The sequence below is a fragment of the Homo sapiens genome, chromosome 1 (genome assembly GCF_000001405.40).
Source record: "Homo sapiens chromosome 1, GRCh38.p14 Primary Assembly".
Taxonomy (NCBI): domain Eukaryota; kingdom Metazoa; phylum Chordata; class Mammalia; order Primates; family Hominidae; genus Homo; species Homo sapiens.
In genome coordinates, this window is record NC_000001.11 from 147,099,014 (window position 1) to 147,117,350 (window position 18,337).

Here is an 18,337-nt window from a genome sequence, read left to right on the forward strand (position 1 = left end):
CTAGGCCCCTCCTTAACCAACTGACCAGTCCTGGTATCATGATACTGGTGATGGACAAACTGGACCTTCTCTGCCTGCAGATGGGCTGAGGTAGGAAACTCACCGCATTGACTCTGCAGTGTTCCCAGCAAAATGTTTAGGCTGAATTTAATCATAAGGACATTTTCAGACAAATTCAGAATGTAGACCATGATCTAGACAGCTGACCTGTCCTCTACAAACAAATCCATGTCACCACCATCAGTGACAACAATAAAAAGATGAGATGCTTTGGGTTCAAAATGACCAAAGAAGTGTAGCTACATTATCTTTTCAATCTTTTTCAACCCAAAATGTCTCTTCTCTTTTTTGTTGTGTGATTCATGGTGACGTGGACTGTGTGAAGGAGATAGGTCAGTTGTCCTGCTCAGTGTTCTACATTCTGCAGTTGTCTGGTGATTACCTCCTACGAAACTCAGGCTAAGTGCTTTCAGCAAGAACGTGGCATTGTTCTTATTCTGCACTGGCAAAGTCCCGGGTGACATGCTGTCTCCTGCCAGCGGCTCCTGACTCCTGTTCTCTACGGGATAGGAATTGAGAGGAGCAGGGCTAAGGCCTCTCAATGCTGTTTGTTCATCTGGGCATCAGTCTCCTTAGGTACTGATCATAGTTGATCACAATTGGAGGGGGAAGGGCTGTGGCTTCTCAAATCAAAGGAGGCTGGTGGGTTAAAATCATCAACAGCATTTCATGGTCTTAAGTTCACTTCTCATCAAAGGATCCCTGTGGTGTTGTGTTTGATCTTGAACTTGCTTTGCTGTTTTAGTCTTTTCCATCAAGTGAAAAAACTACTTTGATGACATCCTTTCATCCTTTTCATTCTTCCAGCAGTATTTGGTATCTTTAGGGGAGAGAGAGACAAAAATCAAATGAGAATCTTTGTCTGGTCCTGTCTGGCTGAGTCTGGAGGGACTGCTAAGTGATGATAACCCAGGGGCAAACTGAGCTCCTGCTGGGAGGACCAGCTGCAGGGTAAGCCTCAGGCTGGCTGAAGTGGCAGGTGCCATCCACAAGTGAGAAGAAAATACCCCAGAACTTCCAGTCAGCCTGGGGTGCAGAATGTAGGGACCTCATCTATGCCCTACTAGCAACTGGTAACATCAGTACCTTTCTTCCTGATTAGCTCTGTTTGGAGCAAAGTGATTGCTTTTCACATCTCCCAGTGAGGATGTGCTTAGCATCAACCATGCATGCCCAGAAACAGAGGGCTGCAGAAGGAGAGGACCCTTTGCAGAGAAACCCACCCCCTTACAACTCCATGTCCCAGTCTTTTAAGGGAGCAGTGGGAAGGCCATGGGAAGAACCCTGGATGTGAGAAGCAGCAGAGGCCTCAGACCACATCCACATCCAGTTCTGCCTTTCACAACAGAGGAGCAGTGATGCCACAGGGCTAAGATTGAACTAAGGCCACATGAGTTGCTATTGACCACCTGGGAACTACAGCCCAGCCTCAGACCCTTTCAATAGTGTTTGGAAGAAGGGAGAGAAAAGGCTCCAATCTGGACTCTCAACAGTCATGAGAGGCTGTTGGGTCACCTTGGCTAGGACAGGAATAAAGTTTTACAATGAAATATGATTTCACTGCTGCTTGTTTGGTTGGTTACAAATAAAAAATGAAAAAAAGAGAAATATAGAAGGCTGGGCAAGGTGGCTCATGTCTGTAATCCCAGCATTTTGGGAGGCTGAGACAGGTGGATCACAAGGTCAGGAGATCAAGACTATCCTGGCTAACACAGTGAAACCCCGTCTCTACAAAAAATGCAAAAATTAGCCAGGCATGGTGGCAGGCACTTGTAGTCCCAGCTACTCAGGAGGCTGAGGCAGGATAATGGCATGAACCTGGGAGGCGGAGCTTGCAGTGAGCCAAGATGGCGCCACTGCACTCCAGCCTGGGTGACAGAGCAAGACTCCGTCTCAAAAAAAAACAAAAACAAAAACAAAAAACAAAATATATATATATATATATATAAAATCATAAGTATTCTTTCCAAGGGGCTCAGGAAAGAAAGAAAAACAAGAGAGTCTACTTGCAGTTAGCAAAGAGAGAGCAGGGATTGTAACCATGGCCCAACTTATTTTCTCTAATTCCCTGAAGTTGATTCCACACCTGGTTACATCTTAAGACATTTAGAAATATTCTCAATATCTAGACAAACAAAACTTTGAAGTGAGAGGGACGCCCAAGATGGTAGCAATGGGAACAGAGCAGAGTTCAGAGAGCAAAGAGCAGATGGGAATGGAAGGTCCTGGGAGGGTGGCAGCTCATGGGACACAGAGGTAAAACCAGACAGACATGATGGCAGCTGCTGGAGAGAATGAATAGGGAAGAGAAAAGCAATGGGAGAATGAGCTGTCATCATAGACACAGGAGTGAGTGCAGCTAAGAGCCATAGATGTGATTACCTTTTTACACTAGGCTTGCAGGCCAGGGAATCTGCATGCCAGTCTCCACTTGCTGAACAGCAGTTTTCTTTTGATCATATTCGGTTTTAGGACACTTGAGGCATGAATGTGGCCAATGACTTGATGCCCATGTGTGTTGTCAGCTGAGCTTTCAAGAGCATCCCCTTCCAGCTGGGGAGGGTTCTTCATTCAAGGGAAGGCTCTAAACCCAGCTCTGAAAATGAAACCACACCCAACAGTGTTCACTGTCATCCATGATCCTACTGTGACTTTCTCTTCCTCCCAAGAGGATCATCAGAGAAGGAAAGTGGCCTTGGACAAGAAAGTCCAAGGGGTAAAGGGAAGCCAAGAAAGACATTTTGGTATTTTCTGCATTGTTGATTTTTCATGCATCACCCAATAATGACAAGATTGCCAGGAGGCAAAGGTGATCTCAATTGACAAACATATTCAAGAAACTTAGGATTAATAAACACAAATAGCTTCTAGGTAGATAAGGCAAAGGCAAGGAAGTCACACTGGATACAGGCTGTGTTTTGGGAGGGAGAAGATTCTAAAAATCAAGCAAAATCAACATTAAATGCACATATGAGAGAAAAGAATTGGGAAGACTAAACATGGGATATTGATGAAATGATCATACAGATATATATATAGCATATATACACATTTAATTAAAAATACATGCCAAATATGCATAATGTACATGACAAATGACATAAATGCATGTATTTATATATAAAAATCTATTGGAAGAAAGTATTACATAGGGATGTGGAGGATGTTGAATTAGCATTATAATCACTAACATTATAATCTGGTCCATTGAAATTGGAAAAAAATTCAGAAAAATAAGATGAATGACAAAGGGAAGACATGGTGAGAAACAAATGCCCTATTAGACAGCAGGGAGAAGTCACCAGTAAAGGAGAATGAAACAAAAGGCATTCACTCTGTCCTCTTGCCTGGAGCCTGGTTAGTGCTCTGGACTCCTGGGAAACCCAGCAGGTGAGAGTGTTGGAGCCAGGTGGGTGAGTCCTGACTGGGGGTGTGGGAATCCATGGAGAAGCAAAAGAGACATCAGTGGAAGAAATCAGTTTAAATACTTAAAGTTATCAGGGCACATGTCAGGGACTACACATCCCCCGACACTCACTGAGCATCTTCCATGTGTCCTCTCCACGACCCAGATGGTGCTCTTTATCTCACATGTCCCTCCCTCCTCCTGAGGACGCAGGTCTCCTTATTCCTCAGCTGGGGACATCACTTGACAGATGAGCAACAGGCAGCCCCAGGGGCTCCAGGAGGAGATATTGAGTGGGACGGAGAGTAAGGATGAACACGACCCAGGGTTTTAAGGAAATCTGAGCAGAAGTGGAACCCTGGGAGAAGGAAACTGAGGACATGGCCATGGACGTGAGTGGAGATGATGAACTAAATGGAGTTTCATAAAACAGACAGATTTGTACACTTTCCATGAGAAGGTTGCCCTTTCATTCTTTTATTTCAAAACAAGGGGGAAAAAAAACAGAGCAAGAAGCTGGGTATGTCAGGAGACTGACTTGTGGGCCCAGGATTTGCACTTTTACTGAATGTGCCTAATAGGTTGTTACTGAAAGTGCTTGATAGGGGAAAATTGACTTAAAAAGGGATGCTGACAAAGAGGAAGAAAACTGGCAAAAGAGACTTTCGAAGAAAACACAGGAAGAGGGGTCCCTAGAGAGTAGAGACCCTAACAGTTACTCTCCCTAAGATGAAACAGTGCATGTGAAGTCACTTCCTGTAGGGAGACCCCCTGAAACTATTGCTATGGAATAAAAGATGAAATGCTCCTGATTATTGTAAACACAACATTGCATGCAGGATTGTGTAAAGACAATGCCAGGTTGGGCGCCAGAATGAGCCAACAGCGCATGATGTGCTTCCCCCTGCAGAGACCCTATGAACGGACGTGCAGTCAGGGAGGTTTCACATCACCAAGATTCCTATCCCAGAAAAGCAGATGTTCATAGCTCTGGGAATGGAATGCAACCCTTGTGGAGAGCCTATAAATGGACACATGGGGGGTGCCTGTTCATATGGATAAGATAGGGCTATAAACACTCTCATCTTGCCACGGCTCTTCTAGGCCTCTTTAGGGTTAAGGCATACTCCCTTCTGAGGATTTCTGGTCTAACTGGTTATCTAGCTTCACGTCCTGTTTCTATGGATTGTTTGTAACCAGCTTTTGCTGCAACTGTTACTGCTGCTTAATATCTTGCTAATCATAGGTTATGGAAAGACTGTGCTTCTGTTTTAAGGCTCTGTTAGAAATTACTGATGCACACACTATACTGTAAATTCTTATCTCTGTATACTGTACTTCTGCATACAGATGTTATGTTAAAAAATTACTTCATCCACATGTGACCATCTCACTCATAATCAGATGATCCTAAATCCCTCACTAACCTACTCCCGCCCTCACTAAAGTTAATAATAAATGCTGGTATATCCCGTGCATTGGCAGCATCATGGGACCAGAAGGTGGTGACACCCCTGGATCCAGCTTTCACTACCTTGTGTGTGTCTATTATTTCTCAACCTGCCGATCTGCCTGGGAACAAAGAAAGAACCCTGTTGCATTGTGGGCTGCTGGCCAGATCCCACAATACTTCCTAAGTGCTAATTTACCAGAAAGATAACAGAATTAGATAACATCTATTCATAGATTTATTGAGCAATTTTTATTGAATTAGCCCTTTGGAAATTCTCATAATTAATGTTATCAACAATAATTGAATGTTAATATTATTTTTCAGGTCTCACAGATGACGGAACTGAGATGTAAATACCAACACCACAAATGACTTCGCCAAGGTCAATAATGAGTAAGGGTTAAACCCAGGACCTGAGAGCAGATTTGATCCTAAACCCCAGGCTCTTGCTCACCTCACTGGGTTGGAACATTGTGGATTTCTGCTTGACTCAGAGGGAGCACGAAGAGACCCCATTGCCTCCTCCCCTCACAGCACCATGACTACCAACACCTGGATTAGAGCTTCCTAGTGCCCTTTCCTTCCCTACCTTGGAAGGGCCATTGGTTCCCAGGATCACCGTTGGCTGTGAAGCTGCAGGTGGTGGAGGAAACGCCCCACCTGGCTAAGCCATAGCCACAGTCAAACCCTTGATCCAGTTGCAGTCACAGACAACTGGGCACCAGGGTTCTTGGCTCCAGCTGTGCCTGTGAAGCCTCCACCTCTGACAGGTGGTGGCTCAAGTCTCCACTCCAAGGCCCGTGAGGACAGGCCACCTGGGTGGGAGCTGAAAGGAGAAGGGGCTTCAGTAGGAACGCTCTCACTTTTCCCTTTCTTAATCATGCCCAGAACACCCATCTCTGACATCTCCGCCTCTGAGGTAAGCCACCCAGTGGCCCAGGCCACAAAGACAGACATCATGTAAATGGGGTGATGTCACCTTCCTGTCTGTGCCTGGGGATGCTGAGATGGAAGGTACCCAGGCTGGATGTCCCTGAAGTGAAAACCCCCCACTTCAGCCCAGAGGGCTTTGGATTGGCTAACAAGGCCATGCCAAATATTCTGTTATTATTAATCTCTATCCTGCAGCCTAGAAAGAATGTTCTGGAGAATCTTCAGAGCATAGGAAATGCTATTTTTCTCAACACACAGGAGTATAAGAATAGGGGAGGACTTAGAGCCTCCAGGCTTTGGGAAGGAACCATAGAAAAGGGTTTTGGGACACTGTAGACTAGCAGTCTCCAAACTTTTTGCCCCAGGGATTGGTTTTGTGGAAGACAATTTTTCCTTGGACCAGGGGTGGGGGATGTGAAAAGAGGGAAGGATCATTTCGGAATGAAACTGTTCCACCTCAGATCATCAGGCATTAATTAGATTCTCGTAAGGAGCGCGCAACCTAGATCCCGTTCATGCACAGTTCACAATAGGGTTTGTGCTTCTATGAGAATCTAATGCCACCGCTGATCTGACAGGAGGCAGAGCTCAGGCTGGAATATGCTTGCTTGCTGGCCACTCATATCCTGCTGCACAGCCTGGTGCCTAACAGACCAGGGACAGGTAGCTGACCACAGCCCCGGGGGCTTGGGGCCCCCTGCAATAGACCAAATACTCCATAAGGTGAACTTTTTAGAGTTCTGAAACATTTTGAATTTCCGTTGCCTATAATTGTTTTACCACCTGCCCACACATATACATCTTGTTGCCATATAGTGGGTGTCCGCAGTCATAAGCAATGTTGTAGAGGGACCAGTCCCTTCACCGACACTTAGGGGCCACAGGTATTACCGATCAGCATGTGTGGTTCTGTAGGGAGGCAACACCAAGCACAATCCTCATCTTACCCACTCCTCCAGTGGGGTCCGGGCAGCACCCCCTCATAAAAATTATTGCTATTTCCACAGGAAGAGGAAATCACACTCTCAGAAAGTGGACTAAGGAAAGACTTCCAGTGGCCTCACGCCAGTCCAGATCGGTCTCAGAAGAGGGACGGGGCCCGCAGGGCCTGATCCACATTGCTGCAGGGCTCCTCTCTCTCTCTCCTCCCCTCTGCACATCCTCATTCTCACCAAGGTTTCTCTAAGTTTTCCTTAAAATGCCTTCCGTGTATCTGTTCTTCATCTTCCTGAGAGCACAGTGTATCAGACTTGAAGGGGTGGCCTGCCCCTCCACACCTGTGGGCGTTTCTCATCAGGTGGGACAAGAGACTGAGAAAAGAAAAAGACACAGAGACAAAGTATAGAAAAGTGGGCCCAGGGAACCAGCGCTCAGCATACAGAGGACCCACGCCAGCACTGTTCTCTGAGTTCCCTCAGTATTTATTGATCATTATCTCTACCATCTCGGAGAGGGGGATGTGGCAAGACAATAGGGTAATAGTGGGGAGAGGGTCAGAAGGAAAATATGTAAACAAAGGTCTCTGTGTCATAAACAAAGTTAAGAAAATGTGTTGTGCCTTGATGTGCACGTATACAAACATCTCGGTGCATTAATGAGCAGTATTGCCACTAGCATGTCTCACCTCCAGCCCTAAGGCGGTTTTCTCCTATCTCTGTAAATAGATCATACAATCGGGTTTTACACCGAGACATTCCATTGCCCAGGGACGAGCAGGAGACAGATGCCTTCCTCTTATCTCAACTGCAAAGAGGCCTTCCTCTTTTACTAATCCTCCTTAGCACAGACCCTTTATGGGTGTCGGGCTGGGGGAAGATCAGGTCTTTCCCTTCCCATGAGGCCATATCTCAGGCTATCACATGGGGAGAAACCTTGGACAATACCTGGTTTTCCTAGGCAGAGGTCCCTGCGGCCTTCCGCAGTGTATTGTGTCCCTGGATACTTGAGATTAGGGAGTGGTGATAGTTTTAACAAGCATGCTGCCTTCAAGCACTTTTTTAACAAAGCACATCCTGCATAGCCCTAAATCCATTAAACCTGGAGTCAACACAGCACATGTCTCTGTGAGCACAGGGTTGGGGCTAGTGTTACAGATTAACAGCATCTCAAGGCAGAAGAATTTTTCTTAGTACAGAACAAAATGGAGACTCTTACATCTAATTCTTTCTACGTAGACACAGTAACAGTCTGAGCTCTCTTTCTTTTCCCCACAGACTCATCATTGATGCCTGGCTTCATACACCCCCACAACTGCTTTCTCTAATTCTGCCATCTTCACACTAGGAATTGTCTCAGCAATTTTATTGCCCAGAAGTCCTGTTCTTTCCACATTCTTACTCTGTTTCTGAAAACTCTCTCAGTACTGCCCACTGGGTGACTCTCCCCGCTCACCCTGCCTTTGTGCTCCTTCTAACTTCTGTCCCATGATCCTATCCAGCATCACCTCCCACCACTCCCTCATACAGTGTCTTCCCTGGAGTCAGGTTGGCCCCTCTCTGGTGCAGCCCTGCATGGGGTGCCTTCCAGCTTCTGGGTCTTTGTCCCCGAGCCCTTCACGCCACCTCATGTGGCCTCCTTAGTTGCTCAGGGCACAGTTTACTGTTCATTAAACATCACTTAGGACACTCAATGCAACTTCATGGTAGTTTATGTTGGGCAGATGGGGAAACAACTCAAAACAACAAATCTGGTTGGGGAAGCCTGGTCAAACCCAGGCTTCCCATTCTTGTCCTCTGCAAGTGCCATTTAGAATCAATGTTTGGGAATGTTTTTAACTCTAAATACTTAATTTTGTTAAGTCCTTTTATCCCTGTTTCTCAGAATACTAAGTCTTCTTAAGCTTATACTTTTAATATTCTTTGCATTTTCAGAAGGAAACAAAAAACAACTCAAACTTCTGAAATACTGTACGTATTATTAGTTGAGCAGGTGGGGAAAAGTCCTCAATAAGTGATCAAGTTATGATTTAGTTTGATTCTACTGTAACTTTCCCTGAAGCGAGAGGATAGGTGGAGCACATCGATTCTGGCACCAAGGCTAGGATCACAGCTGTGCATGGTACAGACTCTTCATAGGTTATCATCAGAACCCACACACAGGATGTCTTCTGGTGTAATTGAGACAGTGCATTCATGCATCTCAGCCTGTCTGCATGGATGAACGTGGCCTCTCCTGGCCCATGTTTCATGATGCCCTGGCAGAGCTGGCCCATATCACAGACATCTCACTTCTGAGACATGTATCTGAGCATTTCCCTTCCTCCTCATGGGAGCCTGGACCTGGTGGGGGTGTTCCTGAGGCAGAGCCCAGTAACTTTATAAGGGCTCCAAGACTGCCATGTTGAGAGCAGAAACCCAAGTGATACAAGGTAGGAACAGACTGCATCTTTCATTCCCTGAGACATTTTCCAGCAAGCACCTTCTGGAGCTGTAGGTCCCCCTGGAGGGACTGAAGGAGCCACTGGTTCTGCTCAAAGACAAAGTGCACTAAGCTATTTATCACTGGGTTATGTGCGTGAGGGGCTACAGGAGTTCTTTGTACCAGACCAGCAAATTTTCTGTTTCAGTTTGAAATAATTTCCAACAAATTTGCTACAAAGGGAAAAACCTTGAGCACTCATCCTAGCTCAGTCTCTGAGAGATCCAACCACAGAGAAATGACAGCAACTGCACCATGGAGTGGTGCCCGTGTTCTCACTGTGACTACTCGGGGCATCCTGGGCAAGTGAAGGGACCTTGCTGAGCCTCAGCATCCTCAGCTCTAACACGGAGATGCCACTGCCCACTTGGGAGTGCCCCTTGGGCACTGCATAGGTTATAGCAAGGATAGAGCTTGCTTGGCCAAGGGCAAGGTGTACAACAGGTGGAAGCGTAATGTGTATTTTACTTCATTTTATGAATTGCTGTGATCCTGCAAAAGCCTTTGCTTGTTTGAAACTGAAGGAGAAATGAAACACAGGAAAGAGGATGGTTCCAGCAGGAAGGTGCTTACTGACCAAAATAGAATGGAAGACCAAAGTTTCAGTCACTACTTTCATTACAACATATTCAGATGGGGGACATCACAGAGTTACTTGCTCTTCCTACAAGAGTCAACGGGTAAAACTCGTAACAATTCACGTGAAATTCTCAGAATAATGGTACAAAAAAACAGAATGAGTGAGAACAAAATAAAATTTTTTTTCCCTTACACACCCTATGAAACAGCCACCTCAAGGGTCACTTGCTCACAGGAGGGGTTTGCTGGAGATCATGGGGATGAGAACCACTGTGCTTTCTTCATCAGTTAGGCCAGCACCTGATCAGGGAAACTAGTTGTTGATGGTTCACATGAGAATATAGCACTGAGATGACACATGATTGAAACTACAAACCCACACATGAAAGAAACCACCGGGGCTCTACAGAGGATGCAAGCCATGGCCATACATGGAGGAAGGGACACTAACTGCCTCAGTGGAGGGAAGCCACCTCAGAGGAGGTAGTAGAGAATCTGGCTTGAAACACAGGAATCATGAAACAGCCCTCCAAAATAATGGGGGGAAAATGCCAGCATAGGTGGATGGCCAGAGAAGAGAGAAGGGCGCTGCTCAGGATATGTGATGAGAAGGGTGCTGCTCAACATAATGTCTGAAAAGAGAGATGCCCTATCTTAAGGAATGAAGTCTGTTATATAAAATTCTCCAGGTGAGCTGTTGTGGCCAAGAGTTTGCAATGATCCCTCATCATTCCCCTCTCTGGCCTGTTTTGATACCTACAGCCTGCTCTTGTGAGAAGGGGTTGGGTGACAGAGGAATCACCTGGCACAAGAGAAAGGGGTTCCACCCATCGAATGAGCATAAAACTGGATCCAAGAACCAGATTCAAAACACTCTGAATTTACAGGGCCTGGCTGCAGAGATGATCCATCTCACCTGCACAAGTTACAGGAAACAGAACATATAGAGGCCACCTAGGAGAATAGTAGAGCTTTGTGACCTTCAGGCTGGAGTACTCACAGGCTACATCGAGAGCAAAGCAGGTGAGCTGATCCTCCAATGAGTACAACGTGCTGTTGTAAGGTTGCTGGCAGTCAGACAGGTCATGGGGGAGTGAAGGAGTCAAGTAAACTTCATCCAGGGAGTCCTGTGGGACGTCCTGTTCCTCCACCTCTGGCAGATCCGGGCTCAGCCTGGTGGGTGAAGAACACAGAAGATAAACATTAGAGGGAACAGAAACTACAGTGCCCAATTGATTCTACAGAGAGTCTGACAGGAGAAGCCAGAGGAAGCAAAAAACAGTCCCCTCAGGCAGAGAATGATCCTTCTCTGTCTCCAGCAGGAGACAGAGCAGCAGGTGCTCAGTGCTCTGGGTAGGCAGTGAGCTGGAAAGGAAGGAGATGGAATGATCCCTCTACCAAAGAGCTATGACACGGCACATGCAGCAGACCCTTGTGTCTTCATAGACTGATAGAGTTACTGTGACCTCAACACCTCTTGTTCTCAAAATTTTGGCATGATATGAATTATGTGTATTCACATTCCTGCTCTCAGATATTTGCCAATATAATGGCAAAGACCCAGACATTGGATGAGCATCTCAAGTTCACTTTAAGCCAAAAAGGCAGAAAAGGAAACTGCAGAAAATGTGATTGATCAGTTCAACAAAGTCAATTGAATAAAGATTAGTACAATTTTGAAGGAATCAATAAGAGAAACAAATACAAATATAGGTGTAAAATGAAAAGAGGCAACTTTATTAATATTGTACCAATAATATTAATATTGACTAATAATCCTGCTTAATAATTATTCCACACTGATAATCTTAACATTACTAATATGGCGATTTCATAGTTGGCTGAATGAATGGACAGGTATGTTCTGTTATCCCTGTATCTGGCATCTCCAGATATCAAAAATAAATTAAATGTCTGCAATTGCTCAAAGTTACCTGGGGCATTGTGGGTCTTGGTCTTCTTCTTCTTCTTGATTTTTTTCAATGTCTGCAACAAAGTCAGACAGGGACAGACACATTAAGTCTATTCCCCTATTCATGCAACAATCCACTGTCCAATCCTAAAACAGGAACATCTGTCTCCTGAGCATGAGAAGAGGACACTGTGAGAGATATATTCCAGGAGGCCTGAGGGTCAGACATGATACAGATTCCTTGGTTTTTGTCTCTGAACCTAAGGGTGAAATGTCCCCTGTTCTGGTAGATCATTATCCCAGTATCATCTGTCCTGAGTTTGTGCAACAGTTATGCAATATTTTCCCTATCAATTCAAAGCAAACACCCAAAATAATTTCTGGAAAAAAAGACTGCAGTATTCAGTCCTGTCTCATCAAATACCCAGCTTGTTCACAAAGGCGAGGATTTTAGACACTGAAATTACAATGAGGGAGAAAATTAACAAACCCTAGAGTCAAAAATAACTCTTTGGTTCTTTAAAAAAAACATTGGTTATTCATGGCATCAAAAACGTGACAGGGCTCAGTCTTGCTTCCAAAACCAAAACAAAAGGTAACAGACAGATCAGCTAAAACAAGCAGACATTGAAGATACAAAGAATGAGGTTAGGTTAATTAAAACCAGGGTAACACCTTTGCATGAGCTGTACACAAAGATGACGTTGACCTTGAGCAGGTATTGAAGCTCAGAGACATGCCTGCAAAATGAAATCCCTGAGGAACTTTGTAGCTACCCAGAGATATGTGGCTCAAATTAAAATGTCTGATAGATTACTCCCGGCATGTGCTGCATAGTTATGTGAACGTGTCACAACTAACTTGGGTCTAATGTCTTCAGACTGAGCACAGGTTGCCACTGGCATGGTCTGAGAATAGGAATAGAGCCATGCCCACTGACCCATCCTATGTCTGGGCTTCCAACTGGAACTAGGGTTTCATTCAAACCTACAGGCGCCTATAGGTCCTGCCTGTGGCAACGACATCTCTCAGCTCAGTAAGGGCTGCTCAGTGCAGGAATATGACCCCTATCCAGAAGACCAGGTGGAGCCTTATCACCTTCATAGTAAGGAACCTACTGTCCACGTAAAGAGCCAAGCCAACATGCTATTCCTCCAATGAGTAAAAGGCACTTCTGTAGGACTGGCATGAGTCACGCAGTTCAACTGGAAGGAGTTGAATAACATCTATCCAGTGAGTCCTGCAAGACTTCAGGCCCTTCCCCTTCCAGCAGCTCACTGCTGAGCCTGGAAAAGTGGGAAAAATTAAAGAGTAAGCCAAAGAAAATCAGACACCACAGAGCCCCAGCTAGATTTCATGAGTAGCATAAGGTAGTAGTTATAAAAAGAAAAGGATACATCCATTAATGAGGTAACAAATTATTGGCTATATCTTGGGACAGAACAGGGCCAAATGGAAAAGGATGAAAGAGAAAGACAGACAGAGAGACAGAGAGAGAGACAGAAAGAGAGAGAGAGAGAAAGAGCTTAGTGAATTGTCCAGGTGACACACTGATGAGGGAGTAATAGGACACTCCGAGTTAGTGCCCTCAGGACACACAGTGTACAGTGATCATGAAAAGAATGGGCTCAATAATTTTCCATAAAATGTGCTTAAGTTTCCATGCAGTTGCCATGAGAATACAGCTTTTGAAGTATGGTCCACCTACGGTAGGTTAGTAAATGATAAGGGGAGGAAGAAATGGAAACCTAAATATCTATTGCAATGAAAACCAACAGCAATGTTAGTAGGAATAATTCAGGCTTCGTTGAAAAGATGTAATCGATATTGTCAGCCTGCTCTGTTTTCTCTGAACCAGGAGTCTCAAAGTGTCAACAGAGAAGTAGCTGTTCACAATTGCTCAAAGTTACCCGGGGCCTGGTGGGCCTTGGTCTTCTTCCTCTTCTTGGTCCTTTTTAATTCCTGCAATACATTCAGACAGGGACAGACAAAATAAGCCAATTCACCTACACCCATAACAGCCCACTGTCTAATCCCCACACAGGGATCTCAGGCTCCTCAGCATGAGAACAGGACAATGTGAGAGATATACTTCAGGAGGCCTGAAAGCTGGTCATGATATTCTTTGATTTGCATCTCAGAACCAAGGGTGAAATATCCCCATTCTGGTAGATCGTTATCCCAAAATCATTTATCCCAAGTTGTGGAAACAGTTATGCCTTATTGTTCCCATCGATTCAAAGAAAATGTCCCAGATGATTTCTAGGAGGAAAACTGCAGTATTCAGCCCTGTATCATCAAATACCCAGCTCATTCATGAATGCAAGAATTTTAGACACTGAAATTAGAATGAAGGAGGAAACCTACAAACCCTTGAGTCCAAATCATAGTTCTGTGAATTTTTTACATCTGCCTGGGTCCAATGTGTTGAGAGTGGGCTCAGGTTGCCACAGGCATGGCTGGAGACTAGGAATAGAACCATGTTCACTGGCCCATCCTATGTCTGGGCTTCCAAGTGTAGCTAGAGTTTCATTACAACCTACATGCACCTATAGGTCCTCCCTGTGGCAATGACATCTCGGGTCAGTAAGGGCCACTTGGAGCAGGAATATGACCCCTATCCAGAAGACCAGGTGGAGCCCTATCACCTTCATAGTAAGGTACTCACTGTCCCCATCAAGAGCCAAGCCAACATGCTGTTCCTCCAATGAGTAAAAGTACTTCTGTAGGGCTGGCATGAGTCAGGCAGTTCAAGATAACTGGTAGGAGTCGAATAATATCTATCCAGTGAGTCCTGCAAGACTTCAGGCTCTTCCACTTCCAACAGCTCCCTGCTGAGCTTGAAGAAGTAGGAAAAACTAAGGGTAAGTGAGGGAAAATGAGAAACCACAGAGCCCCAGCTAGATTTCATGGGGCATAAAGAAGTGGTTAAAAAAGAAAAGGGATAGATCCATTAATGAGGTAACAAATTATTGCCTTTATATTGGAATAGGCCATGGCTGGGTAGTAAATGATGAAAGAGAAATACAGACAGAAAGAAAGAGAGACAGACAAAGAGAACTTAGTGAATTGTCCAGGTGACACACTGATGAGGGAGTTAAAGGACACTCTGAGTTGGTGCCCTGAGGACACACAGCAAACAGTGAGCATGAATAGAGTGGGCTCAATAATTTTCCATAAAATGTGCTCAAGTTTCTGTGCAGTCGCCATGAGAATACAGCTTTTGAGGTATGGCCAACCTTCACTAGGTTAGAAAATGATAAGGGTAGGAAGAAATGGAAACCTAAACATTTACTGCAATGAAAAGCAACAGCAATATTAGTAGGAGTAATTCAGGCTTGGCTGACAAGAATGAAATCATTATTTTCAGCATGTTCTGTTTTCCCTGGACTTGGCATCTCCAGGTGTCAACACCAAATTAACTGCCCACAATTTCTCAGACTCACCTGGGACATGTTGCCTCTCGATCGTCCTTTTTCACTTGATCACACTGAGGTCCTGCAAATAAATTCAGATGGGGCCTCTTACATTAAGCAGTTCTTCCTTGCACACAGAAACATTCCTCTGTCCAATCCTAACACAGGGACTTCAGTCTTCTCAGTGTGAGAACAGGAGACTTTGAGAGAAATATTCCAGTAGGCCTGAGGTCAAGTCTTGAGAAAACTGGCTTGGGTTCTTTCATGAGCCTTGGGCAAAATTCCCCTGTTTTGGAATGTTATCTTCCCTATGTGCTCTGTCCTAGGTCTGTGTACACAAATGAGCAATATTTTCCCCAATAAATTGTAGGCAAATAGTTCTAACACCTCGTAGGAGAGATACTTCAATATTAAGCTTTCTCTCATCAAATACCCAGAATTTGATAGTTTATGAGATTGTGGACACTGAGATTTGTTGGATGGGTGCAATGTACCAGCTCTTGAGTCAGAATGAGTCTTGGTGCTACACAGAAGCATCAGCTATTATGGCTTTTGTGAGTGAAAAGTCAACTGTTTATCTAGAAAACATACCAGCAAGATGATGGACAGATGAGCTAAAACAAGCCAACTTAGAAGACACAGAAAATGGAGATAAATTCAGTGAAACCTGGGTCACATCTTCCACTGAGAGGTAGACAAGGGTGACACTGGCCTTGGGCAGGTAAAGAACCACACAGACATGCTTTGGGAACAAAACTCATAAGGAATTTTGTAGCTGGCAAGAGACATTTAATTCAGATGAGCTGATCTGACAGACAACTCCTGGGCATGTGCTGCACAGTTTGGTGTGAGTTTGCCACACCTGCCTTGAGTTCAATGTCGTGACAGTCAGTCCAGGTTGGCATGGGCATGGCCTGAGACTAGGAAGAGAGCAAAGCTCACTGACCCACCCCATGCCTGTGCTTCAGACTCGACTCCAGAGTGATTGAAATCTACATTGATATATAGGTTCAGCCCGCAGTGATGGCAACTCTCAGTCCAACCAGGGGCACAAGGCCCAAAGATTACGGGGTCTACCTGGGATGCTAACTGGAGCTTTATCACCTTCACAATGGAGTACTCACTACCTATGTCAAGAGCCAAGCCAACTTGCTGTTCCTCTAATGAGTGAAAGGTGCTCCTGTAAGACTGGTACAAGGCAGATATGTCAGGAGGAATTAATAGAGTCGAATAACCTTCATCCTAGGACTCCTGAGGGGCTTCCTCCTCTTCAGTCTCCTGCAGATTCCTGATGAGCCAGGCAGGACAGGGATGACAGAAGATTTAACCAACAGAGATTAGACAACAAGGCCTTTCAGCTGATCCAATGGGAAACAGAATCGAGTGGTCACAAAAAGCAAAGGCATTTTTCCTTCAAGAGAAAAAAAGCTATCCTTCTAAATGCAGGGTAGAGGGTGACTGCTCTGGGGACAGAGCAAAAATGTGCAGGTCATGCTCAGTGCATTTGCCACAGATGAGCCACTGCAGGGCACCCAGACTCTCCGTGTAAACTACCATCATGACTTGCAACACAGAGAACTAACACAGGGCTTCAACCACTTTGCATAAATTGGGTTGAATTTTACATGCAGCATTCAAGTGAACAGAGCTCTTGAGGCAGTGCAGACACACAGATCTTGTGTATTAAGGGCCCCCTTTTCCCAATATTTTGATATATATGTTTATTTTTGAATTTCTTTTCTTGTGCAAATACTAGCAAAGATACTAACAACAAATGGGCAGAAAGCATATATACATCTCTCCCTGGATTTAAACACATGGGAGAGAACAGGCAATACCAAGAAATCCCTGTTTGGTTAGTTCACCTGGCTCATCTGATTGCAGGTTCCTATCTTGAGAGGACTACAAAATTAAAACCAACACAAGTGCCATGAATAACCCACAACAGTGTTAATAAGGACAATTTGTGGTGGGGTTAATGGAAGAAATTGTTCTATTCATCATTTCCTCATTTTCCCTGGATCTGCAGTCTCCAAGCATCACTATTGAACTAATAGCTCACAATTACACAGCGTTACCTGGGAGACGCTGGCCCTTTTTCTTCCTCTTCCTCGTGATTACTTTGATTTTCTGTAAATAAATTCAGAGAAGCAGGTCACATTCAGCAAATCACACTTCACATATGACCAAATAAGTGTCCAGTCATAGCACAAGGACATAAATATTCTCAGTGCGAGAATATGGATTCTGACAGGAATGTTATAGATTAAGTCTTGTGTGAAGTAGATGAGCCTGCTTTCCAGACCCACAGGCCAAAATCTCCCTCTATGTGTAGACCGTAATGCCACATTCCCTGCCTGAGTCTATGCAAGTTAAACAAAATTTTTTCCCAAAAAATCTCCAAAACTTGGTCAAGCTACTTTCTGAGAGTGTTGCTGCAATACTGACTTATCTCACCAGATAATATGGTCATTGAATGTTTAAAGGCATCTATGCATGAGACTAGACTGTTGGATAAATTCTAACAACTCTGTCTTAAAAAATAATCTGCAATTTGGGAGGCCAAGGTGGGTGGATCACTTGAGGCCAGGAGTTCGAGACCAGCCTGGCCAACATGGTGAAACCTTGTCAGTACTAAAAATATAAAAAATAGCCAGGCATGGTGGTGTGCACCAGTGGTCCCAGCTACTCAGGAGGCTGAGGCAGGAAAATCGCTTGAACCCAGGAGGCAGAGATTGCAGTAAGCCGAGACTGTGCCACTGCACTCCAGCCTGGGTGACAGAGTGAGACTCTGTCTCAAAAAATATATATATATGTGATGCTACGAAGAAACATTGGACATTGATGGAGTGGAGAACTCAGGGCCCAACCTTGCTCTGTGGAAACATATCAGCAAGGTAAAGAATAAATGTTTCCATCCTGGTTTCAAGGTGACTGTGCAGCTAAGCAAGCTGACTTAAAGGAGATCAAGACTGAAGCTGAGAGCAGTGAAACTCGGGGAACAATATCTCCAAATACAAAGGCAAGGCTGCCAGTTTCCTTAAAAAGGCATAAAAACTCCATGGACTTTGTTCAGGGACAGATGACATAATGACAGGTGATGAGAGATATTGGATCTAAGCTAGGAGGCTTGATAGATACCTCCTGCACACCTCCTGGAC

General features: G+C 44.8%; 1 pseudogene across 1 annotated transcript; it reads right to left on the minus strand.

The window, feature by feature from the left end:
• Positions 1-468: 468 nt before the first annotated feature.
• On the minus strand, positions 469-15,333 carry NBPF13P (NBPF member 13, pseudogene; annotated as a pseudogene). The gene is made up of 6 exons (NR_103466.1): positions 15,207-15,333; positions 14,429-14,599; positions 11,783-11,834; positions 10,849-11,021; positions 2,443-2,656; positions 469-880 (listed from the first exon to the last, which is right to left on the minus strand). The product of NR_103466.1 is annotated as an NBPF member 13, pseudogene (transcript).
• Positions 15,334-18,337: the final 3,004 nt, after the last annotated feature.